At 37.4% G+C, this 27,425-nt stretch overlaps 1 protein-coding gene across 10 annotated transcripts in view; it reads left to right on the plus strand.

Annotated features, from left to right (window-relative positions):
• The window catches only part of UVRAG (UV radiation resistance associated), a 329,023-nt gene that overhangs the window by 145,432 nt on the left and 156,166 nt on the right, over positions 1-27,425 (plus strand). For all 10 annotated transcript variants that reach the window (NR_170160.1, NR_170161.1, NM_001386671.1 and 7 more), the window contains 2 exons: positions 803-908; positions 22,746-22,872. Coding sequence is in view for 7 of the 10 variants with exons in the window: in NM_001386671.1 (NP_001373600.1) it covers positions 803-908; positions 22,746-22,872 (233 nt within the window). In the remaining 3 variants the exon portion in view is untranslated. The remainder of the gene's footprint in view (positions 1-802; positions 909-22,745; positions 22,873-27,425) is intronic.

Genomic DNA, 27,425 nt, shown 5'->3' on the forward strand with positions numbered 1-27,425 from the left:
CTGTAGTCCCAGCTATTTGGGGGCCTGAGGTAGGAGAATCACTTGAGCCCGGGAGGTCAAGGCTGCAGTGAGCCGTGATTGCACCACTGTACTCCAGCCTGGGCGACAGAGTGACATCCTGTCTCAAAATAAAATTAAATTAAAGATAAGGAGACCAAGAAGCAAAAACACAAAGAAAACCATAATTTAAAAATAAAAATAGCTCTTAATTTTTTCATTGTTCCTTGAAAGAGACCTTACTGAGAATGTAGTTGGCTAGTTTGAACCTGGCCGAGTATTTAATTCCTCCTATTACTTTGTCTTTTCTATCATCTTTTGGTTTTTTCTTATATCTTTGAGAGTGCTGTCTGCTTTGATTCAACCTTCTCAACTTGGATTACTGTGAATTCTTTTTTTCCTTTATGGATACCTAGAAGTAATTGTCACCTTTGAGAGTGGTGATACTCTCTCGGTGACTTTAGCAATCCATTTAATTTCACTGGGCGTCAGTTTCCACATCTATAAATGATAGGATTTTACTATATTACTTTCTCAGGGCTCTTCCCAACTCCTTTGAGTTCTTCATCTTACCTCACAGTACATCAGAGGCAGGCAGGCAAGTACAAAAAGGGTGTTTTAGAGCTTTACTGTTATAGGATTTATTGTATTCCCTGTTATTTCATTGCGAATATGCTAGATAATTAAAAATCAATTGAGTTCATTATTAATTCTATGTATCCTCCAGGTTTGTCATTTATATCTGAGGCTCTTTGTTGAGTTTACTGTTAACTCATTTACATTTTTCTATAACTTATATTTCTAGGCTTCATAGAGCCCAGTGTGCAATTAAACAGACTCAGGTAACTGTTCAGAAAATTGGAAAGGAAATTGAAGAAAAACTAAGACTCACATCTACAAGCAATGAACTGGTAGGTTTTTATGTATTTACCTGTTTACACTTCTTGTTTTCTAAAGGAGAGTATCATATTCTTCTAGGGTTAATTTTAAAAAACGCTTTAGATCGTTTTTATCTTCTTAATTGTCCACAGAGAGTTCTATTGGCATTTAAATGTTGGAAATAAACTTTCCCATCTGCTAATAATGTAACGCATGAAGTGCCTGCTTTATTCTGCTAGATGAAACTTTATATTACATAAAATTACTTAGAAGATAATTAACAGGCAGTTTTATTAATGTGAACTCTAAACATGAACTATATAGCGAATGAAAAATAGCCGCCAGGAGGAAAAAAAAAATGGGAGCTAATCTACTTTTGAAAGACGAATTTAAAAAGTATTTGGATTGAGCAAAACAGGCTGGTTTGTGGACAGTGATCTCTTTTGGGAAATACTCTTATTAAGGAGGCATTTCCAAAGAAATAGAAATCCTAACCCAAATGGGCAGATTTAAGATATTAGTATAATTTTGAGTTGTTTTTCCTAGTGGAGTGGAAAAATGTCTATTTTGTAATGAATATTGTGTTTTTCTAAGCACAATAGTGGGTATGGCTAATAAATTGAGCTTTTTTTTTTAAAAGCCACTTGGGTATGAATAGCTTTTGAGGAACTTTGTGCTGTGGATTGGACTTAAAATAAAATTCAGATCTTCAAATTAAGTTCTAGATAAAATTATTTAAATATTTGTTCGTGTGAACTCATTATCACAGATAGGCAGCATCTTCCTATTGTCATTTACACCCTTCTCAACTTAGCAGAGGGCCTTTATATCCCCAAATGAAAGCTTTTTGTTGCCTTGAAGATTTGCCCAAGATAATCATATAGTAGAAGTATAGAAAAGCAGCAATGCACTTAACCTTACAGAAACTTCTCTCTCATGGAATTTGAAATTAATATATTAGTTCAAACTGTATACAGTTGCTGATTTTCTAGCTAGTGCTATAGCTGGCAGGTAGCAAACATACAAAATAGGATAACTGCAATAGGTATAGTAGTAATTCTTATTATTCACTTGACTTTCCTTGTCTATAAAAACATCTTCCGTTTCAAAGGTGCTGTTAAACCACCTCTTGTTGTAACTTAGCCCCAGCAAGACTAAATTTCAGACTATAAATATATTGAAGGGGGAGGAAAAATCACTAATTTTAATTCTTTCTGTAGTGTATAAAAATGCTGGATTTTTAGAACCCTTGGGGAAAATTGCTGGGTTTTATTTTTGTTTTCCTCTCCCAAGGAAAGACTGGGAAATTAATTGTTGCATTAAATGACAGCATATGCTTTATCTCAGTGTGGAAAAATGTATTTTTAATCCTGTTTTTAAAGGAATATAAGTGGTGACATACAGAGCAAGGTAACAGAATGTGTGAGTTTAAAGAGGTCAAGTTCAGAGGTTCATTGTGTGTTTTTATGCTGCCTAGTCAACACAGAAGAAAAATCATTGGATTTTTGAACTGAACGTGAACCTAGAAATCATCTGGTTCCCTAATAACCCCATTCAAAACTATAGCCCCCTCAGTACATTCTATCCCTTTTCCTGCTTTATTCTGTATAATATTCATTACCATTTACCATGATACATATTTTGCATATTTTTCTCTCTCTCTAAGCTCTATAAGGCGAGGGGTTTTTGTCTCTCTCTCTTTTTTTACATTGGTGTATTTCCAGCATCTAGAAAAGTGTTTGCCACACAGTAGGTGCTCAATAAGTATTTGTTGAATTTAAGAATGAATCTAGCATAATGTCCTTTTATAATAGGACAGGAAAATGAAGCTTAAAGAAGGGAAACAGCTTTCCCACAATCATTTGACAATAGAGATGGATAATTTGGTTTACTTGTTTCCTTTTAGAGAATAATGCCATCTACATGTTAATTAGTCAGTCACTTTGAGGTTTACCTATAGCATATTAGAAAACTTTACTATTTGTCTTTTTGCTCATTTACTTTTCAAATTGGCCCATGGCCATTGTATTCCAACCCATCCATTTCCGATATTTAAGAAATCATTTTCATTTTAACCTACGTAAAAATGCAGCAAAGAAGGCATATTTGATGTTGAAAGAAATCAGATTACCTTCCAAGACCATATATGATTAACTGTGTTATAAGAAATTGGGTTCATAGTTGGTGACTTTCAAAAATTTGGCATCTTCTCACATTACATCAATGCCTAATGTTTTTTGGCATTTAATTTTATTTCTTATGAAATTTCTGCTGTTATCATTTTGAATTTTTACTTATGTTTTATAAGTTTTTTGTTTGTTTGTTTTGAGGTGAGATCTCACTATGTTGTCTGGGCTGCTCTTGAACTCCTGGCCTCAAGTGGTCCTCTCACCTGAGCCTCCCGAGTAGCTGGGATTATAGACGTGTACCAGCATGCACAGTTTGTGTTTCAGATTTTGTCAGATTCCTTTCCTGTATCTGTTTAGATAAATGTATGTTTTTTCTCTTCTGGTATTAAGGTGAAATACATTGGTTGATTTTTTAATATTAAGCCAACTTTGCATTCCTAGGGAAAGCCCTCTTGGTCATGGTGAATTACTTTTTAATGCTCATTACTGGATTTAATTTGTTAAAAAATTTTAAAGAAATTGTGCATATGTATTTATAAAGAATATTGGTCTGTAGTTTGTTTCCTTGTAATCTCTTTGTCTCATTTTGTTGTCAGGGTGACGTTGGCCGCAACTCACTTTTGGGAAGTGTTTTCTCCCTTTTTGTTTTCAGGAAAAATATGTGTAGAATGGGAATTATTTCTTAAATGTTAAGTAGAATTTGCATTGAAGCCATCTGGGCCTGGAGGTTTTTTTGTGGGAAGGTTTTTGAACTGGAAATTCAATTTCTTTAATAATTTACCTTTTGCATTAACTTTTGTAGCTTGTGTCTTTCAAGGATTTGTCCATTTCATTTAGGAGGTCAGTCTTTTTACATTTAGCTATTCTAGCAGTTATGTAGTATTTTCTCTTTTTGTTCTAAATTGTATTTCCATGATGAGCATTTTTCATATCCTATTGGATATGCATGCATCTTTTAATAAGTATCAGTTTAGGGCTGGGCGTGGTGGCCCACGCCTGTAATCCCAGCAATTTGGGAGGCCAAGGCAGGTGGATCACGAGGTCAGGAGTTCGAGACCAGCCTGGCCAGTATGGTGAAACCCCGTTTCTACTGAAAGTACAAAAAATTAGCTGGGTGTGGTTCTATAGTTCATTGTTTTGTATCACGTACGTAAGGGTAATTTTTTCCCCCTGCATGGATATCCGGTTGATTTAGCATCATTTATTGAATAGTCTTTTCATTCCCCATTTAATTGCCTTGACATGTTTGTTCAAAATCAATTGATCATGTATATGTGCATCTATTTCTGGATTTTCTTTTCTGTTCCATTGATCTATATGTCTGTATTTCCCCAATACCAAACTCACTTATTATCATAGATTTGTCATCTTAAAATTTGACAGGGTAAGTCTTCCAACTTTGTTAAAACTTCTGTGGTTTTTCTGGGTTCTTTATATTTCCAACTGAATTTGGGAATCAGTTTGTCAATTTCTACACACACAAAAAAAAGGTCTGATGGAATTTTGATAAGAAGCTGTAGATAAAATTGTGGAGAATTGCTATCTTAACAATAGTGGGTCCTTCAATCCGTGAACATGGTGTATATCTCTTTTACTTAGATTTCTCTCTAATTCTCTTTATAATGTTGTAGCTTTCACTGTAGAGATTTTGGACATCTTTTATTTATTTATTTATTTAATTTTGAGACGGAGTCTCGCTCTGTCGCCCAGGCTAGAGTGCAGTGGCGCGATCTCGGCTCACTGCACCCTCCGACTTCCGGGTTCACACCATTCTCCTGCCTCAGCCTCCCGAGTAGCTGGGACTACAGGCGTCCACCACCACGCCCAGTTAATTTTTTAAAAATATTTTTAGTAGAGACGGGGGTTCACCGTGTTAGCCTGGATGGTCTCCATCTCCTGACCTCGTGGTCTGCCCGCCTTGGCCTCCCAAAGTGCTGGGATTACAGGCATGAGCCACCGCGCCCGGCAGATGTTGGACATCTTTTGTTAGAGTTATTCTGAAGTGTTTTATGGGAGTTTTTTGGCAGGGGAGGCATTATTGCAAGTGGAATTGTTTTTAAATTTTTATTTCTCATTCGTTTGCTGCTAGTATGTAATAATACAATTAATTTTAACTTATTAATCTTCTGTCTTGCAATCTTGTTATATTAACTTATTCATTATGCTAGTTATTTATAGTTTTTTGGGATTTTCTTTGTAAAGAATCATAACAGGAAAGTTTGCACAGTTTTATGCCCTTTATTTGATTTTCATCCAGTACAATGTTGGACAAAAAAAATAGTAAGAACAGGAATCCTCACCTTGTTCCTGGTTTTGAGGAGAAACAACTCATCATTTCTCTGTTAAATATAGTGCTAAGAATGCCCTTCATTAATTTTAGGAAGTTCCTCTTATTCCTAGTTTCTGAGAGTTTTTATCACGAATAGAAGATGAATTTTGTCAGATGGTTTTTCTATATCCATTGCAATGATCATATGGTTTTTTCTTTATTCTCTTAATGTGATTAACTTTTTGGTTTATTTTCAAATGTTTAACATTGCATTTCTGGAATAAACCTAAATTGATTATAATATATAATTATTTTTGTATTTTGTTGGATTTATTCTTATAAATTTTTTTCCTTCGTATTGTCTTGGATTTGCTTTGGTAATAATTTAAGGAATTTTGCACTTGTATTTATCAGGGATGTTGTGATACAATGTTTTGAATTGCGTTTTCAGATTTTGGTAGTAGGATTATGGTAGCCTGGTAAAATTAGTTGGGCAGTGTTCTTTTTTTCCTATTCCATCTTGCCCAGGAGCAGAAATCTGGACCTTTTAAATATTTTCTAGTTCTCTGCTGATATTTCATATCCTTTTATTCACTATAAGAATATTTCAATTTTTGTCGACATATATGTATGAGTGGCTTTAAAGTTTTTGTAATTCTAACATCTGGATCATCTTGGGGTTGGCATATGTTGGTTTTCTCCTCCCTAGAGAGTGAGTCACATTTTCCTGACTCTTCATATATTGGGTAATACTGCATAGTATTCTGGACATTGTGAATGTAATTTGGTGGAATCTCTGGATTTTGTTACTTTGTTCCAAAAAATGTTGATGTTTTTATTTTAGCAGGTAGTTAACTTGGTTAGGCTCAAACTGTCATGCCTGCAATGAACATTGGCTCAGATTACAGTGTAGTTCTTTTACTCTTAGGCACAAGCTTCTTTCTGTTTGTCTCATGCATGTGTAGTATAGGATTCAGTCAGAGACTTAGGTTGAATTTAAACAGAATTTGGGGTGCCCATTCTCTGCCTTCCTCTATTCTGGTATACTTGATTGCCTGACCATTTTTCCCTGGTTCCTCTGGTCAGAAAGGAAGTTGACTTTCTGTTGGAGTTTGCAGCCACCCTCAGGGAAAAGCCACAGAAAAGGGGAATTTCATTTTATTGGTTGTTTATGCCAAGTTCTGACTCACCTCCAAAATATGCCTGCCATTGATCAGTCTCAAGAACCCTCAAGTAGCAATTTTTGTATTTTATCCATAGTCTATATTTGTTATCCATAGTCTATATCTTCTATGAGAGGACCAGTTTGTTGCATACTTATTCTTTTACACCAGAAGCAGAGCTCCTGTACATTTTATTATTATATATTTTTGCTGTATCCTCCTGGCTAAATCCGGGTTCTAAGCCTGTTACTGCTAAGTCTGTGAAATTAATGGATAGGAAATATTTTCTGCGGAAATCTTTTCCTTTTCTTAGTGGTTGACTAGGTGTAGGTCCAGTAGAAACAACCTGTAAATGACATTTAAAAGCAGATGTGTTAACTTTTGGGACAGCTGCCACAATTTTAAAACCTTTTTTCTGATTGTTATTTATTTTCAATTTGGGGGGAAGAATTACTACAGGTGAAGATAAAATATACCCTAAGCTGTCAATTCTCAAAGTTATTGGTCTCAAGACCTCTTTGTACCCTTAAAAATCTCAAAGAATTCAGTAATACATTTTTATGAAAAATAAGCATATTTTTCTGAACAAAAGGTTTAATTAGCATTACATTGCTTAAATATTTTGTGAATTTAACTGCTATTAAGCTAATGTCTAGCCTAATAAAAGACACCTGGATTTTCACATCTGCTTCTGCAGTGAATCTGTTGCAATATCGTAAGTCTCGCAGACTCTGGTAAACTCCATCATACACTTATGAGAAAATGAGAGTGGAAAAGAGGCATACAGCTTAGTAATATGCGAATATGTTTTATCTTACAAGACTCTGTAAAGATGTCAGGAACCCTCACAATTCCCAGGAACATGCTTGAGGAACTTTTGACCTAAGGCAAAAAGCTTTAGCTCCAATATGATCAATGTGAAGACACTTGTTCCATTACTGGTTGAACATCTCAAATCAAAAATCCAAAATCCAAAACACTCCAATGAGCATTTTCCTTGAGCATCATATTGGTGCTCAGAAAGTTTCAGATTTTGTAGCATTTTGGACTTCAGATTTTAGGATTTGGCATATTCAACCTATAATATGTTATTTATACGTTAGTCATCTTTCTGAAATGAATGTTTAACATTTCCCATTTTTTTGGCAGAGACTCATAAATAGGAATGTGTGTATCTGTGATTTTCAGTTCACATATAGTGTTGTATAAAAACACTAAAATCTAATTAAATGTAATCTATTGGCGAAATATATGTGACATTACACTTGGAGTAAACAGATAAATAGAACACTGAAACTCATTAGAAGATTATGGAACATTAAGATCTTTGAGCAGTTCATCTTTGATGCATTAGAAAGGAAGTAGAACTAGATCCCACATGGGTTTGTTTACTCATCAGAAATTGGAGCCAACAATTCTGGTTTTGAATGACTTGATATATTTCTGTAAATGAGCCAGTTTCTGAACATGGACCATAACACAAACACTATACATATGCCTTCCCATATTAATGTAGTATTTAGATTAACTTGTAACCTTAGTTCTTTAAATCTAGAAAACATATCTCAGTATGTACCCTGGAATAGAGCAGGTTATCCTCCTAGCCAGGCATATCCCTGTGTTCTCTGAATATTTGCTTTTCTTTTTCTGTATTTTCTTTCTCTGCCCAGGTAGAATTCAATTTACATATTTTGTGGAAAAATTCAAGTTAAGAAAGTTGAACACCTCACTCTTTGTGGGAAAAGATTGCTTCCTAAAGATTTTACCTATCTTTTTCCTCAGTGATGTAAGAACACCTTAGGCTTCTTGATTATACTATTGCATTGCTAAAGAAAACTCAGATTGTTTCTTCGTTCCTTTTTCTTTCATAATAAACAGCCTCATTGACTTTTTTTCCAATTATTTTTGTGGTAAAATACATATAAGATTTATGATCTCATTTCATTTTTAAATGTACAGCCCAGTGGTATTAAATACCTTCAGAATGTCATGCAACCATTATCACCATCCATCTCCAGAAGTCTTTTAAACTGAAACTGTACGCATTAAACACTAACTCCTCGCCTCCCTCTACTCCCAGCCCCTGGCAACTACCATTCTACTTTTTGTCTCCGTGACTTTGACTGTACTCTGAGTAACTCATATAAGTGAAATCATGCAGTGTATACCTTTTTATGGCTGGCTGTTTCACTTAGTGTAATGTCCTCAAGCTTCATCCATGGTGTAGCATATTGCAGAAATTTCCTTCCTGATTAAAGCTGAATAATACTGCATTGTATGTATATACCATATTTTGCTTATCCATTCATTTATTGATAGACACTGGGTTGCTTCTGCGTCTTAGAACCTTGTGGACTTTTGGTTTCTGTTTTTACAGTGGGGTGGCAGGGCAAAATGGCTTTTATCTCCAGTAGACCTAAATTCATAGAAAGTAGAGACCATTTCTCATTCATCTAGAAGCATGCAGTAGGGCCTTTATTGATGTTTGGTTTGTTCAGGAAAATTGTTTAGGAATATTCTATGAAAGGCATATTTCATAGACCTTTCAAGCTAAATATAATAATGATTGGAAATAAGTTTTTCTGCTGTTTTCTCAGCTTGAATGTCTTTAACAGATGATCATACCATCTGTTTAGAATCAGTGTGTCAGGGATGAGTAAGAAAGCATCTTGGGTGAGAAATGATGCTGTAAGTACTTTTAATACATTGCCAAAAATCGTTGTCCATGCCCGTTGCTTCAACGAGGCCATACCATGATGCATCTCACTGAGTTCCCACGCTTCCTCATTGTGAGTCAAATCAAGATACTAACCTTTTCCTTTTAAAGTTTTCTATCAGCTTATCCTGGATCCTGGTAACCTATTTATTTAATGGATGAGTTTTGTAGTTACAATTTTAATTGTTTACTTTATACCTTAGGAAGGAGATAAAAATTTACTAGCTATAACCAAATTGCTGTTTGCTTAAGATTTATGTCATAAAAAATGATGAAAAGTGTATTAGTGACACTGATAAAGACTAGGAGAGAAGACACATTCATAGTGCAGTAATTATGTGTGTGCACACATATGCAGGCACAGACATATTCATTTTGGGGACAGAATTTCAGATTTGTATCTGGAGGTAAATTCAGGCAAGGCTTTTGGAGAAAAAAAGAGGCTGAGTAAAGTTTAAGCAATGGTTTGATGTAGTATTTATATGGAAACGTAAGTTAACAAACAACAAGTTTAATTGTATCTCTGGCTGGTAGAATGGGTCAGGAATTTCATTTTATTAAATGTGTATTCAGTAAAATTGATTTTTAATGTAACTTAAAAAGTAAACTTTCTTTTTCAAGGTAGTTTTAGATTCATAGAAAAATTAGGCAGAAAGGGCCGGGCATGATGGCTCATGCCTGTAATCCCAGCACTTTGGGAGGCCGAGGCAGGCGGATCATGAGGTTGGGAGATCAAGACCATCCTGGCTAACATGGTGAAACCCTGTCTCTACTAAAAATACAAAAAAATTAGCCGGGCGTGGTCGCGGGCGCCTGTAGTCCCAGTTACTTGTGAGGCTGAGGCAGGAGAATGGTGTGAACCCGGGAGGCAGAGCTTGCAGTGAGCTGAGATTGTGCCACTGCACTCCAGCCTGGGCAACAGAGCGAGACTCCATCTCAAAAAAAAAAAAAAAAAAAATTAGGCAGAAAGTACAGAGTTCCCATATAACCCACCCCATCCCCAATTTCTTCTGTTAAAACATCTTGTACTCGTGTGGTACAATTGTTATATTGATTAATTAATATTAATACATTATTATTAACTGAAGTACATAGTTTACATTAGGGTTTACTCTTTATGTTATACAGTTCTATGAGTTTTGACAAATGTATTATGTATCCATCATTACAGCATCAAACAGAATAGTTGCATTGCCCTAAAAATATCCTATCCTCCACGTGTTCATCCTTTTCTCCCTCCTCTGGCAACTGATCTTTTTACTGTCTCTATAATTTTACCTTTTCCATGATTTCATATAGTAGGAATCACACAGTATGTAGCTTTTTCAGACTGGCTTCTTTCATTTAGCAATATGCATGTACAATTTCTCTTTTGATGGGTTGATAGCTCATTTTGTTTCATCACTGAATAGTACTCCATTGTATATATACCACAGTTTATCTGTTGACCTATTGAAGTATATCTTGGTTGCTTCCAAGTTTTGGCAATTATGAATAAAGTTGTTGTAGACATTTGTGTGTAGGTTTTTGTGTAAACGTAAGTTTTCAGTATCCAGGTTAATATATAAGAGTATGATTGCTAGATTGTATAGTAAGACTATTTTAGCTTTGTGAGAAACTGCCAGACTCTGCCAAAGTGGCTGTACCATTTTGCATCCCCACCTTCAATGAATGACAGTTCGTGTTGTTCCATATCTTTGCCAGCATTTGGTGGTGTGAGAGTTTTGGATTTTATTCTAATGGGTATGTAGTCGTATCACATTGTTGTTTTAACTTGCAATGCCCTAATGACTTACGATGTTAAACATCTTTTCATATGCTTGCCATCTATATATCTTCTTTGATGAGATACCTGTTCAGTTCTTTGTTGCATTTTTAAATTGAGTTGTTCATTTTCTTTTTTTTTTTGGAGATAGAGTCTCGCTCTTTCACTCAGGCTGGAGTGCTGTAGCACGATCCTGGTTCACTGAAACCTCTACCTCCCAGGTTCAAGCGATTTTCCTCCCTCAGCCTCCCAAGTAGCTGGGATTACAGGTGTACACCACCATGCCCGGCTAGATGTTTTTTTGTATTTTTGGTAAAGACAGGGTTTTGCCATGTTGGCCAGGCTGGTCTCGAACTCCTGACCTCAGCTAATCTGCCAGCCTTGGCCTCCCAATGTGCTGGTATTACAGGCATGAGCCACCGTGCCCAGCCAGGGTTGTTTGTTTTCTTAATGTTGAATTTTAAGAGCTCTTTGAGGCCAGGCCCAAGTGGTAGATCACACTTGGGTAACATAGTGAGACCCCGTCTGTATTTTTTTTTTTTATGAGAGTTCTTTGTATATTTTGGAGACCAGTTCTTTATCAGATATGTTTTTTTGCATAGTTTTTCTCCCAGTCTGTGGCTTGTCTTTACTCTTAACACAGTATCTTTTGCAGATTTTAAAGATTTCCAAGATACCAATTTCTTTTTTCATGGATCTTGCTTTTGGTGTTATGTCTAAAAAGTTATCTCCAAACCCAGAGTCTTCTGTATTTTCTCCTGTGTTATCTTCTAGAAGTATAATTTTTAATTTCATGTTTAGATCTGTGATCTGGTTTGAGTTAATTTTTTATGAACGGTATAAGACCTGTATCTAGATTGATTAGTCCCTCTCGCACTCACTCTGTTTCTTCCTTCTTTCCTTTCTTTTTTTGCATGTGGCGGTCCAGTGGTTTCATCATTTGGTGAAAAGACTGTCCTTTCTGCATTGAGTTGCTTTTGTTTCTTTGTCAAATATTCTTTGACTGTATTTGTTTGGGTATATTTCTAGGCTCTCTGTTCCATTTGATTGATCTGTTTGTCTGTTCTTTTACCCATACCACCCTGTCTTGATTACTATAGCTTATGGTAATTCTAGACATTGGCTACTGTCAGTCTTCCAACTTTGTTCTTCTCCTTCAATATTCTGTTGTATATTCTGGGTCTTTTGCCTTTATATAAACTTTAGAATCAGTTTTGATATTAACAAAATAATTTGATGGATAATTGGATAATTTGATTCCACTTGTTCATTGCTGTTACACAGGAAGACATCTAACTTTTTATACTTATTAATTCTATATTCTGCAATCTTGCTATAATTGCTTTTTCTAGGAGGGTGTTTTTTTGTTTTGTTTGTCAATTCTTTTGGATTTTCTATATGGAAACAATAATATTATCTGCAGCCAAAGACAGTTTTATTTCTTCTTTCCCAACACGTGTAGCTTTTCTTTCTTTTTCTTGTCTTATTTCATTAGCTAGGACTTCAGGTATAACTATGGTGAATAGGAGCGAAAGGGGATATCCTTGTCATGTTCTCAAACTTAGGGGATAAGCATCTAGTTTCTTACTATTAAGTATGATGTTAGCTGTAGGTTATTTGGTAGATGTTCTTTACCAGTTAAGGAAGTTCCCCTCTTTTCCTAGTTAGCTGAAAGTTTTTATCATGAATCGTAGTTGGATTTTGTCACATGCTTTTTCTGCATCTATCAATATGTATGATCATACCATTTTTTCTTCCTTAGCCTGTTGATGTGATGAATTACATTAACTGCTCTTTGAATGTTGAACCAACCTTGCCTACCCGGGATAAATTACATGTTGCCATGTTGTGTAATTATTCTTATACATTGTTGGATTTGATTTGCTAATATTTTGTAGTGTCTTTGGTTTTTGTGTTAGGGTGATGCTGGCTTCATAGAATGAATTAGCAAGTGTTCATCAACTTCTAATTTCTGGAAGAGATTCTGAAGAACTGGAATTGTTTCTTTTTTTTTATACTTTAAGTTCTAGGGTACATGTGCACAATGTGCAGTTTTGTTACATATGTATACATGTGCCATGTTGGTGTGCTGCACCCATTAACTCGTCATTTACATTAGGTATATCTCCTAATGCTATCCCTCCTCCATCCCCCCAACCCACGACAGGCCCTGGTGTGTGGTGTTCCCCACCCTGTGCCCAAGTGTTCTCATTGTTCAATTCCTGCCTGTGAGTGAGAATGAGGTGTTTGGTTTTCTGTCCTTGCGATAGTTTGCTCAGAATGATGGTTTCCAGCTTCATCCATGTCACTGCAAAGGACATGAACTCATCCTTTTTTATGGCTGCATAGTATTCCATGGTGTATATGTGCCACATTTTCTTAATCCAGTCTATCATTGATGGACATTTGGGTTGATTCCAAGTCTTTGCTATTGTGAATAGTGCCGCAATAAACATATGTGTGCATGTGTCTTTATAGCAGCATGATTATAATCCTTTGGGTATATACCCAGTAACAGGATGGCTGGGCCAAATGGTATTTCTAGTTCTAGATCCTTGAGGAATTGCCACCTGTCTTCCACAATGGTTGAACTAGTTTACAGTCCCACCAACAGTGTAAAAGCGTTCCTATTTCTCCACGTCCTCTCCAGCACCTCTTGTTTCCTGACTTTTTAATGATCTCTATTCTAACTGGTGTGAGATGGTATCTCATTGTGGTTTTGATTTGCATTTCTCTGATGGCCAGTGATGATGAGCATTTTTAATGTGTCTGTTGGCTGCATAAATGTCTTCTTTTTTTTTTTTTTTTTTTTTTTTTTGAGACGGAGTCTCGCTCTGTCGCCCAGGCCGGACTGCGGACTGCAGTGGCGCAATCTCGGCTCACTGCAAGCTCCGCTTCCCGGGTTCACGCCATTCTCCTGCCTCAGCCTCCCGAGTAGCTGGGACTACAGGCACCCGCCACCGCGCCCGGCTAATTTTTTGTATTTTTAGTAGAGATGGGGTTTCACCTTGTTAGCCAGGATGGTCTCGATCTCCTGACCTCACGATCCACCCGCCTCGGCCTCCCAAAGTGCTGGGATTACAGGCGTGAGCCACCGCGCCCGGCCAAATGTCTTCTTTTGAGAAGTGTCTGTTCATACTCTTTGCCCACTTTTTGATGGGGTTGTTTGATTTTTTCTTGTAAATTTGTTTAAGATCTTTGTAGATTCTGGATATTAGCCCTTTGTCAGATGAGTAGATTGCAAAAATTTTCTCCCATTCTGTAGGTTGCCTGTTCACTCTGATGGTAGTTTCTTTTGCTGCGTAGAAGCTCTTTAGTTTAATTAGATCCCATTTGTCAATTTTGGCTTTTGTTGCTGTTGCTTTTGGTGTTTTAGACATGAAGTCCTTGCCCATGCCTTTGTCCTGAATGGTATTGCCTAGGTTTTCTCCTAGGGGTTTTTATGGTTTTAGGTCTGATGTTTAAGTCTTTAATCCGTCTTGAATTAATTTTTGTATAAGGTGTAAGGAAGGGATCCAGTTTCAGCTTTTGACATATGGCTAGCCAGTTTTCCCAGCACCATTTATTAAATAGGATTTCTTGTTTTTGTCAGGTTTGTCAAAGATCAGATGGTTGTAGATGTGTGGTATTATTTCTGAGGGCTCTGTTCTGTTCCATTGATCTATATCTCTGTTTTGGTACCAGTACCATGCTGTTTTGGTTACTGTAGCCTTGTAGTATAGTTTGAAGTCAGGTATTGTGATGCCTCTAGTTTTGTTCTTTTGGCTTAGGATTGTCTTGGCAATGCGGGCTCTTTTTTGGTTCCATATGAACTTTAAAGTAGTTTTTTCCAATTCTGTGAAGAAAGTCATTGGTAGCTTGATGGGGATGGCACTGAATCTATAAATTACCTTGGGCAGTGTGGCCATTTTCACGATATTGATTCTTCCTATCCATGAGCATGGAATGTTCTTCCATTTGTTTGTGTCCTCTTTTATTTTGTTGAGCAGTGGTTTGTAATTCTCCTTAAAGAGGTCCTTCACATCCCTTGTAAGTTGGATTCCTAGGTATTTTATTCTCTTTGAAGCAGTTGTGAATGGGAGTTCACTCATGATTTGGCTCTCTGTTTTTCTGTTATTGGTGTATAGGAATGCTTGTGATATTTGCACATTGATTTTGTATCCTGAGACTTTGCTGCAGTTGCTTATCAGCTTAAGGAGATTTTGGGCTGAGATGATGGGGTTTTCTAAATATACAATCATGTCATCTGCAAACAGGGACAATTTGACTTCCTCTTTTCCTAATTGAATACCCTTTGTTTCTTTCTCCTGCCTAATTGCCCTGGCCAGAACTTCCAACACTGTGTTGAATAGGAGTGGTGAAAGAGGGCATCCCTGTCTTGTGCCAGTTTTCAAAGGGAATGGTTCCAGTTTTTGTCCATTCAGTATGATATTGGCTGTGGGTTTGTCATAAATAGCTCTTATTATTTTGAGATATGTCCCATCAATACCTAATTTATTGAGAGTTTTTAGCATGAAGGGCTGTTGAATTTTGTCAAAGGCTTTTTCTGCATCTATTGAGATAATCATGTGGTTTTTGTCTTTGGTTCTGTTTATATGCTGGATTACGTTTATTGATTTGCATATGTTGAACCAGCCTTGCATCCCAGGGATGAAGCCCACTTGATCATGGTGGATAAGCTCTTTGATGTGCTGCTGGATTCAGTTTGCCAGTGTTTTACTGAGGATTTTTACATCAATGTTCATCAGGGATATTGATCTAAAATTCTCTTTTTTCATTGTGTCTCTGCCAGGCTTTGGTATCAGGATGATGCTGGCCTCATAAAATGAGTTAGGGAGGATTCCCTCTTTTTCTTTTGATTGGAGTAGTTTCATAAGGAATGGTACCAGCTCCTCTTTGTGCCTCTGGTAGAATTTGGCTGTGAATCTGTCTGGTCCTGGACTTTTTTTGGTTGGTAGGCTCTTAATTATTGCCTCAATTTCAGAGCCTGTTATTGCTCTATTCAGCGATTCAGCTTCTTCCTGGTTTAGTCTTGGGATGGTGTATGTGTCCAGGAATGTATCTATTTCTTCTAGATTTTCTAGTTTATTTACATAGAGGTGTTTATAGTATTATCTGATGGTAGTTTGTATCTCTGTGGGATCGGTGGTGATATCCCCTTTATCATTTGTTATTGCGTCTATTTGATTCTTCCTTCTTTTCTTCTTTATTAGTCTTGCTAGCGGTCTGTCAATTTTGTTGATCTTTTCAAAAAACCAGCTCCTGGATTCATTGATTTTTTTGAAGGTTTTTTTGTGTCTCTATTTCCTTCAGTTCTGCTCTCATCTTAGTTATTTCTTGCCTTCTGCTAGCTTTTGAATGTGTTTGCTCTTGCTTCTCCAGTTCTTTTAATTGTGATGTTAGGGTGTCAATTTTAGATCTTTCCTGCTTTCTCTTGTGGGCATTTAGTGCTATAAATTCCCCTCTAAACAGTGCTTTAAATGTGTCCCAGAGATTCTGGTATGTTGTGTCTTTGTTCTCATTGGTTTCAAAGAACATCTTTATTTCTGCCTTCATTTCATTATGTACCCAGTAGTCATTCAGGAGCAGGTTGTTCAGTTTCCATGTAGTTGAGCGGTTTTGAGTGAGTTTCTTAATCCTGAGTTCTAGTTTGATTGCACTGTGGTCTGAGAGACAGTTTGTTATAATTTCTGTTCTTTTACATTTGCCGAGGAGGGCTTTACTTCCAACTATGTGGTCAATTTTGGAGTAAGTGCGATGTGGTGCTGAGAAGGGTGTATATTCTGTTGATTTGGGGTGGAGAGTTCTGTAGATGTCTATTAGGTCTGCTTGGTGCAGAGAGCTGAGTTCAATTCCTGGATATCCTTGTTAACTTTCTGTCTCGTTGATCTGTCTAATGTTGACAGTGGGGTGTTAAAGTCTCCCATTATTATTGTGTGGGACTCTAAGTCTCTTTGTAGGTCTCTAAGGACTTGCTTTATTAATCTGGGTGCTCCTGTATTGGGTGCATATATATTTAGGATAGTTAGCTCTTCTAGTTGAATTGATCTCTTTACCATTATGTAATGGCCTTCTTTGTCTCTTCTGATCTTTGTTGGTTTAAAGTCTGTTTTATCAGAGACTAGGATTGCAACCCCTGCTTTTTTGTGTTTTCCATTTGCTTGGTAGATGTTCCTCCATCCCTTTATTTTGAGCCTATGTGTGTCTCTGCACGTGAGATGGGTTTCCTGAATACAGCACACTTATGGGTCTTGACTCCATCCTATTTGCCAGTCTGTGTCTTTTAATTGGAGCATTTAGCCCATTTACACTTAAGGTTAATATTGTTACGTGTGAATTTGATCCTGTCATTATGATGTTAGCTGATTATTTTGCTCGTTAGTTGATGCAGTTTCTTCCTAGCATCGATGATCTTTACAATTTGGCATGTTTTTGCAGTGGCTGGTACCGGTTGTTCTTTCCATGTTTAGCGCTTCCTTCAGGAGCTCTTGTAGGGCAGGCCTGGTGGTGACAAAATCTCTCAGCATTTGCTTGTCTGTAAAGGATTTTATTTCTCCTTCACTTATGAAGCTTAGTTTGGCTGGATATGAAATTCCGGGTCGAAAATTCTTTTCTTTCAGAATGTTGAATATTGCCTCCACTCTTTTGTGGCTTGTAGAGTTTCTGCCAAGAGATCCGCTGTTAGTCTGATGGGCTTCCCTTTGTGGGTAACCTGACCTTTCTCTCTGGCTGCCCTTAACATTTTTTCCTTCATTTCAACTTTGGTGAATCTGACAATTATGTGTCTTGGAGTTGCTCTTCTCGAGGAGTATCTTTGTGGTGTTCTCTGTATTTCCTGAATTTGAATGCTGGCCTGCCTTGCTAGGTTAGGGAAGTTCTCCTGGATAATATCCTGCAGAGTGTTTTCCAACTTGGTTCCATCCTCCCCATCACTTTCAGGTACACCAATCAGACATAGATTTGGTCTTTTCACATAGTCCCATATTTGTTGGAGGCTTTGTTCATTTCTTTTTACTCTTTTTTCTCTAAACTTCTCTTCTAGCTTCATTTCATTCATTTGATCTTCTATCACTGATACCCTTTCTTCCAGTTGATCGAATCGGCTACTGAAGCTTGTGCATGCATCACATAGTTCTTATGTCATGGTTTACAGCTCCATCAGGTCATTTAAGGTCTTCTCTACGCTGTTTATTCTAGTTAGCCATTCATCCAATATTTTTCAAAGTTTTTAGCTTCTTTGAGATGGGTTCGAACATCCTCCTTTAGCTTGGAGAATTTTGTTATTACCGATCTTCTGAATCCTTCTTCTCTCTGCTCGTCAAAGTCTTTCTCCGTCTAGCTTTGTTTAGTTGCTGGCAAGGAGCTGCATTCCTTTGGAGGAGAAGAGGTGCTCTGATTTTTAGAATTTTCAGCTTTTCTGCTCTGGTTTCTCCCCATCTTTGTGGTTTTATCTACCTTTGGTCTTCGATGATGGTGACGTACAGATGGGGTTTTGGTGTGGATATCCTTTCTGTTTGTTAGTTTTCCTTCTAACACTCAGGACCCTCAGCTGCAGGTCTGTTGGAGTTTGCTGGAGGTCCACTCCAGGCCCCGTTTGCCTGGGTATCACCAGTGGAGGCTGCAGAACTGCAAATATTGCAGAACGGCAAATGTTGCTGCCTGATCATTCCTCTGGAAGCTTCGTGTCAGAGGGGCACCTGGCCGTATGAGGTGTCAGTCGGCCCCTGCTGGGAGGTGCCTCCCAGTTAGGCTACTTGGGGGTCAGGGACCCACTTGAGGAGGCAGTCTGTCCGTTCCCATATCTCAAACTCTGTGCTGGGAGAACCACTACTCTCTTCAAAGCTGACAGACAGGGATGTTTAAGTCTGCAGAAGTTTTCTGCTGCCTTTTGTTCAGCTATGCCCTGCCCCCAGAGGTGGAGTCTACAGAGGCAGGCAGGCCTCCTTGAGCTGCGGTGGGCTCCACCCAGTTCGAGCTTCTGGGCAGCTTTGTTTACCTGCTCAAGCCTCAGCATTGGTGGGCGCCCCTCCCCCAGCCTCGCTGCCGCCTTGCAGTTTGATCTCAGACTGCTGTGCTAGCAGTGAGCAAGGCTCCGTGGGCGTGGGACCCTCTGAGCCAGGCGCGGGATATAATCTTCTGGTATGCTGTTTGCTAAGACCTTTGGAAAAGCACAGTATTAGGGTGGGAGTGACCTGATTTTCCGGGTGCGATTTTCCAGGTGCCGTCTGTCGTGGCTTCCCTTGGCTGGGAAAGGGAGTTCCCCGACCCCTTGTGCTTCCCTGGTGAGGCGATGCCTTGCCCTGCTTTGGCTCACGGTCCGTGGGCTGCACCCACTGTCCTACAAGCCCCAGTGAGATGAACCCGGCACCTCAATTGGAAATGCAGAAATCATCCATCTTCTGCGTCGCTCACGCTGGAAGCTGTAGACTGGAGCTATTCCTATTCGGCCATCTTGGAACCTCCCTGCCTCTTTTTTCTGGTATTGTTTCTTACTTAAACATTTAGTAGAATTCACTGTGAAACCAACTAGACCTTTTTTTTTTCTCCCCTGTTTCTGAAGGTTAGTAATTGTTAATTTAATTTCTCTCTCTCTCTCTGTTTTGTTTGTTTGTTTGTTTTTTGAGACAGGGTCTTGCTCTGTTGCCTAGACTGAGTATAGTGGCAGGATCATGGCTCGCTCTAGCCTTGAACTCCTGATCTCAAGTGATCCTTTCACCTCAGCCTTCTGAGTAGCTAGGACTATAGGTGCATGCCACCGCATCCAGCCAATTTTGTTATTTTTTATTTTTATGGATGGGGTTTCACTGTATTGCCTAGGCTAGTCTCCAACTTCTGGGCTCAAGCAATCCTCCCACCTGGGCTTCCTAAAGTGCTGAGATTACAGCCATGTGCCAATGTCCAGCCTAATTGCTTTATTATCTCTTTTTCCTACTGTGAGTTTTGGTAGATTGTCTTTCAAAGAATTGGTTTATATTAGCTAAATTACCAAACTTCTGGGCATAGAGTTGTTTATAGTGTTTTTTTATTCTTCTGATGTTTGTGAGATCAATTGTGATAACCCCTCTTTCTTCATATTAGTAAATTTTGCCTTTTCTCTTTTTTCCTTGAAGAGTCTGGCTAGAATTTTTTTTTTTTTTTTGAGATGGAGTTTCACTCTCGTTGCCCAGGCTGGAGTGTAATGGCGTGACCTCGACTAACTGCAACCTCCACCTCCCAGGTTCAAGCAATTCTCCTGCCTCAGCCTCTCAAGTATCTGGGATTACAGGTGCCTGCCACCATGCCCAGCTAATTTTGTATTTTTAGTAGAGATGAGGTTTTGCCATGTTGACTAGGCTGGTCTCAAACTCCTGACTTCAGGTGATCCACGTGCCTCAGTCTCCCAAAGTGCTGGGATTACAGACCTGGCCCTGGCTAGAGTTTTATCAATTTTATTTACCTTTTCAAAGAACCAGTTGTTGGTTTCATTGATTTTTCTGTATTGGATTTATTCTATTTGGATTTAACTGGCTTCTTGAATATGTAGATTTCTTTCTTCTGCCTAATTTGGTAAGTTTTTAAATTTAAAATTTTTAGACAGAGTCTTGCCCTGTCGCCCAGACTGGAGTGTAGTGGCATGATCTTGGCTCACGGCAACCTCCACCTCCCAGGTTCAAGCGATTTTTCCGCCTCAGCCTCCCGAATAGCTGGGATTACAGGTGCCCACTACCGTGCCCGGCTAATTTTTATATTTTTAGTAGAGATGGGGTTTCACTATGTTGGCCAGGCTGGTCTCAAACTCCTGGCCCCAAGTGATCTGCCCACCTCAGCCTCCCAAAATGCTGGAATTACAGGTGTGAGCCACTGTGCCTGCCCCTAATTTGGCAAGTTTTTAGCCACTATTTCTTTTCTTTTCGTTTTTTTTTTGTGTGTGTGACAGGGTCTTGCTCTGATACTTAGGCTGAAGTACAATGGCATCATCATAGCTTACCGCAGCCTCAAACTCCTAGGCTTGAATAATCCTCCTGCCTCAGCCACTGAGTCGTTGGGATTACAGGCATGAGCCATCTTGCCTGGCTCCATTATTTTTTCAAATACTTTTTCAGTCCTTCTCTGTTTCTCTTTTCTTTCTAGTATTCTGATGACACAAAAGTTAGCTCTTTTGGTATAGTTACACAGGTCCCTGATGTTTTGTTCATTTTTTTTCAAGGCTATTTTCTCTCTTGCTAAAATTGGTAGTTTCAGTATTCTGTTCACAGACTTTTCCCTGCTTCCTCTGTGCTGCCATTGAGCCCATTCACTGAGTTTTTGTTATTTTTTGTTCTAAAATTTCCATTTGGTTCTTTATATCTTCTGTTTCTTTGCTGAGACTTTCTAGTTTTTTTTTTCCTACTTTTTCATTTGTTTCAAGCATGTTCTTAATTGCTATTGAAGCATTTTTATGTTGGCTACTTTCAGGTATTTATCAGAAAATTGTAACACGTCTATCATGTCAGTATTGGCATCTGTTGTTTGTCCTTTTTCATTTTGTTTGGCATTTTCCTGGTTCTTGGTGTGGTGAGTGGTTTTTGATTGAAACTTGGACATTTTGGGCATTAAGTTTTAAGTCTCTGGATCTTATTTAAGCCCTCTGTTTTAGCTGGCTTCCTCTGAGACCTCTCTGGTAGGGGAAAGAAGAGGTGCCATTTCATTACTGCCAGATGAGTATAGAAGTCCAGATTCCCTATGCAGCTTCCATTGGCTAAGTGGCAGGGGAGAAAGCTCCCCTTGCCTTAATTAATACTGGCCAGGAGTGGCTCCCCACTAGGCCTCCAATGATAAATTCTTAGCTGGGAGGAGGAGAGATGCCTTGTTACTTCTCCCCACATATCTTCCACTGATATCACAGAAAGGAGGGTGGCCTCATTAGCACTGGGTAGAGTGAAAGTGACTCTCAACTAGGCCTTCTCTAATACCACTGCATTGGGGGTGGGAGAGGGTTATCTTATTACAGACAGGTGGGTGGTAAAAGTCCAGGATCCCCATGTGGTGTCAGTAGTTACCACATGGGACTCGTTTGGTTACTGCCTAGCAGGGATGAAAACCTCAGGCCTCTGCTTGGCCTTCTTTGAAACGGGCAGGGGGGTTAGAGCACCTCGGTTTGGTTTGGCAAACGTGGAAATCTACTTTTTGTTTCTATGGATTTGCCTATTCTGGACATTTCATATAAATGGAGCCGTATAGTGTGTGGCCTTTTAAAACTGGATTCTTTAACATAGCATAATGTTTTTAAGGTTGATCCATGTTGTAGCATTTGTCATTACTTAATTTCTTTTTATTACAAAATAATATTTGATTGTATGGATAGGCCACATTTTATTTATCCTTTCATCAGTTGGTGGACATTTGGGTTTTTTATGTCGTTCGGCTATTATGAGTAATGCTGCTATGAACATTAGTATTCAGGTTTTTGTGTGGACATGTGTTCAGTTCTCTTGGTATATACCTAGAAGTGGAATTTCTGGGTCTTATGGTACCTCTGTATTTAACTTTTTGAGAACTTACTTATTATTAAGTTTTAAAAATCTTATTGTATTGTATTGTGGTATCAGGGAAGGTACCTGAGATATTTTGTGTAGTGTCTGTTGGGTCCCCAGACTTAAGATTTACTTTTACTCTTATTCTTTGCTTATTTCTATATGATTTTCATTAAAAGGATGGTGCTGGTAATTAAGTTACTCAAGAGTTCCATAAGTTTGATGAGTATTAAAATGTTTTAAGCCATTATTTATTTTTAAACATTGTGAGTATGTAATTATTCATAGTCATGACATTTATATTCATAAATATACCTGTGATTTTATTTATTTAGAAAAAAAAAAGTGAATGCCTGCAGTTAAAAATTTTGGTGCTTCAGAATGAACTGGAACGGCAGAAGAAAGCTTTGGGACGGGAGGTGGCATTACTGCATAAGCAACAAATTGCATTACAAGACAAAGGTGAGTGGAAATACCATACAAACAGCCTAACCTCCACATTCAGTAGTTCTCCTTTCTTCTTCTTCACAAGCTCAAATAGTCATTTTTTGTGTAAATACAGTCACACATCACTTAATGACAGGGATATATTCTGGAAATGCATCCTTTGGTGATTTCCTTGCTGAGCTGCCATCATAGAGTATGTTTACACAAGCTCAGATGGTATAAACTACTACTACACACCTAGGCTATATGGCTGTAAACTTGTACAGCATGTTACCATACTGAATACTGTAGGCAACTATAACACAATGGTGAGTATTTATGTATCTAAATATATCTAAGCATAGAATAAAAATACTATGCTATAATCTGTGGGACCGCCATCTTGTATGTGGTTTGTTGTTGATTAAAACATCATCATGCAGTACATGATTGTATGGTGATAGAATTTTCTCAAATTTTTAAAATATTTTTGCAAGTATTTTGAAGTTAGTCCATAGAGACAAGTGTACAGATCTGTATTCAAATCGTCCCGGACTTACAATGGTTTGATTTAATGATGATTTAACGTACGATTTTTCAGTTTTACAATGTGCAAAAGTTATATACATGTGGTAGAAACCATACTATGAATTTTGAATTTTGATCTTTTTCCAGGCTAGCAGTATGTGGTATGATATTTTCTTGCTATGCTAGGCAGTGACAGTGAGCTGCAGCTCTCAGTCAGCCACATGATCATGAGGGTGAACAACCGGTACTCTATAATGTACTCTGTTGCTAGTGTTTTTTGGATATTGTGTTTTATGTTTTCACATCCCATCAAGTCTACAAAGTGCTCATCTGTGTACGGTATTCAATGCTGTGTTATAAAATAAGTTTTGTGTTAGATGATTTTGCCCAACTGTAAGCTAATAAAAGTGTTCTGACACCTTAAAAGTAGGCTAGGCTAAGGTTTCATGATCAGTAGGTTAGGTGTATTAAATACATTTTCAATTTATGATACTTTCAACTTACAATGGGTTTATCAGGATGTATCCCCATGGTAAGTTATGGAGAAGTTGTGTCCACAGAGCTTGAATTTTCACAAAGCAAACATACCCATGTGAGCAGAATCTCAATCAAGAAACAGGACCCCAAAGCCTCCTCACGCTTCCTTCCATTTACCACATCTCCAGCCAGACTAGCCACTGCCAAGACTCAAACCGGATTGGTTTTGCCTAATTTTGAACTTTATAGAAATAGAATCATATATGTACATGTGGTGGCTCTTTTCAACATTATGTTTGTAGAGTCATTCTTACCTTCATGTGGTTGCAGTTTGTTCGTGTTTAATGCCAAATAGTATTCCATTATATAAGTGTGAATTTATTTATCTACTCTTGCTGTTGGTTTCAGTAATTTTCATTTTGGGAACATTAGAGTTAATGTTTCCATGAACCTTCTAGGTTTCTGAGTGAAGAACTTTCATACGTTTCTTAATAAAGATTTTTAGGTATTTCAGTTGAGTAGAAACTGAGGAGTAGAATTACAGTCAAGAGAATGTACGTATCTTCAGCTCTAGTAGATTGTGCCCAATGGTTTTCCAATATGATTGTGCCAGTTTATCTCCCCTCTGTCCAGTGTTGCTCCTTCCTACATCCTTGTCAGGAATTTCTTTTCTTTTTTTTTTTTTTTGTATATTTTGTATTTATCGCATTTGGTAATTTGTATTTTTCGTTTTAGCCTTTCTGTTGGATATGTTGTAATATCCTCTTGCAGTTTTAATTTTTATTTTCCTGAAGACTAATGAAGTTAGTCTTTCATATGTTATAAATTTTATAAACATTTCATATGCTTCTTGCTGACTGAGATACACTCTTTTGTGATATACCTGTTTGAATCTTTTGCCCATTAATAAAAAAAGTTTGGTTTGACTGTCTTTTTGTTTGTAAGATTTCTTTATATATTATGGATATGGGTTCTTTTTTTGGCATATGCTTAAAAATATATTCTCCCATTCTGTGGCTTGCTCGTTCACTCTTTAATGATACCTTTAAATGAACAGAAGTTCCATTTTATCAGTCTTTCATAGATGAGGCTTTTTGTGACTACTTGGAGAAATATTTATCTATTTTAAGATTTTATAGTTGTTTTTCTATGTGTTCTTTAAAATACTTTACTATTTTACTTCTTACATTTATATCTATAATTCATCTGGAATTACTTTTTGTATGTGATGTAAGGTAGGAGTCGAGATTATTTTTTTTCGTATTGATAGTCAGTTGACCCAGCACCATTCACTGAAGATCATCCTTTCACCATTGCGTTGCAGTTTTGCTTTTCTCATAAATCAGATGACCATTTGCTTGTAAGTCTGTTAAGAACCCTCTGTTCTGTTCTATTGATCTATTTTTCTGGTCCTTTGCCATTATCTTGCTGTTTTAATTTTTTTCATGTTATAATAGGTGTTGATATCCATTAAAGTTCTTCAGCTTAATTGTTTTTCTTCAAGATTACCTCAGTTATTTTTGCCCTATGTCATTTTCATGTGAATTTCTACATAGAAAAGAAAACCTTGCTAGGATATTTTTTCTTAATTGTCATACCTCATTGCTGGGATTTGCTAGGATTTTGATGGAACTGCATTGAATATATTTATCAAATGTAATTGGGGATAATAGACATCTTTACAATATTGAGGCTTCCTTCCCAAGAAAATGATATATGCCTTTGTTTATTAGATCTTCTTTACAAAACGTTATCGAAATAAGATAGTGTATGGGTCTTTCCCATGATTCATTGAATTTATTTCTATTTTTTGTTGTTTTATGATACTATTGTACATATCTTTAAATCTTATTTTTACTAGTTTCTGGTATATAGATGTACAATTAATTAGTTTTTTTTAAGTGGTATTAGTATTTATTATGTTTAAAGAAAAATTCACCGGAAGCCTTATAGACAGATTAGTAATTGTTAATGTTACAGTTACAGCCCTGCAGCTGCAGTCTTGCTGTGGTTATTTATTTACATTCTAATTTAGTTGCATTATAATTAAATTTCATTACACTAAAATTAGTAATGATTTTAATTATTTGTTACAAATATAAAAAATTGCAGAAAATTAAAAAATCGGATTATTGAGATATAATTCCCATACCATATAATTTTGCCATTGAAAGTGTATAATTCAGTTTTTCTTAGTTTATTCACAGAGTTGTGCAGTGATCACCACAATCTGATTGTCCTACCTAAAAGAAAACTCATGTGCATTAGCAGTTATTCCACACTTCCCCTCCCCCAGTTCTAAGTAACCACCCCCCTACCTTCTGTCTCTAGATTTGCCTTTTCTGGACATTCTTTTATAAACAGAATCATGCAATATTGTGGTCTTTTATGACCAACTTCATTTGTTTAGCGTAATATTTGTAAGGTTCATCCACACTGTATCATGCATCACTAATTCATTTTTACTCCTGAATAATACATTCAGTTATATGGATATGTCACATTTTAAAAATCCACTCATCAGTTGTTGGACATTTGGGTTGTTTCCGCTTTCTGTCTATCACAGATAAAGCTGCTTATGAGCATTCATATACAACTTTTTGTAGGGATGTTTGATTTCATTCCTGTTACGTACACCTGGAAGTGGAATTGCTGGGTCATATGAGAACTCTATTTTTAACTTTTTGAATGACTGCCAACCATTTTCCACAACAGCTGTTTTACATTCCTACCAACAATATATGAGGGTTCCAATCTCCCCATTTTCTCACCAATATCTGTTATTATCTCTCCTTTTAATTATAGCCATCCTACTGAATATAGCATTGTTTCTCATTGTAGTTTTGATTCAAATTTACCTAATGACTTACATGCTTCTTACACCAGATTTTCGTATGTTAATTTTATATCCAAGGAACTTATTAACTAGTTCTAATAATTGTTAGATTGTTTTGAATTTTCTGTTTTTACAGTCATCTCACCTGCAAATGATGGCATTTTTATTTCTCATTTCCTAATACGTATGCCTTTAAAACTTTTTTCTTACCTGATTGTGTTGTCTGAGACATCCAGTACAATATTAAATAGAAGTAGTATCAGTGGATATCCTTTTCTCATTTCCAGTCTCAGTGAAAGCCTTTAATATTTCATAGAGGGTTTAATAAAACATAGAAGGTTTACTATAAGCATTTTTGTAGTTCTTATTTTGTGGTTTACCGTTTTGCATCCTTTACCCATTTTGTCATTTTTGCATTAACTGTTTTTTTTTTTTGAGATGGAGTTTCGCTCTTGTCTCCCAGACTGGAGTAAAATGGCGTGGTCTCGGCTCACTGCACCCCTCTGCCTGCTAGGTTCAAGCGATTATCCTGCCTCAGCCTCCCAAGTAGCTGGGATTACAGGCACCTGCCACCATGCCTGGCTAATTTTTGTAATTTTAGTGGAGATGGGGTTTTGCCATGTTGGCCAGGCTGGTCTCAAACTCCTGACCTCAGGTGATCTGCCCGCCTTGGCCTCCCAAAGTGCTGCGATTACAGGCATGAGCCACCAGCCCGGCCGCATTAACTGTTCTTTTAATGAATTGATAA

The sequence above is a fragment of the Homo sapiens genome, chromosome 11, assembly GCF_000001405.40.
Source record: "Homo sapiens chromosome 11, GRCh38.p14 Primary Assembly".
NCBI classification, from domain to species: domain Eukaryota; kingdom Metazoa; phylum Chordata; class Mammalia; order Primates; family Hominidae; genus Homo; species Homo sapiens.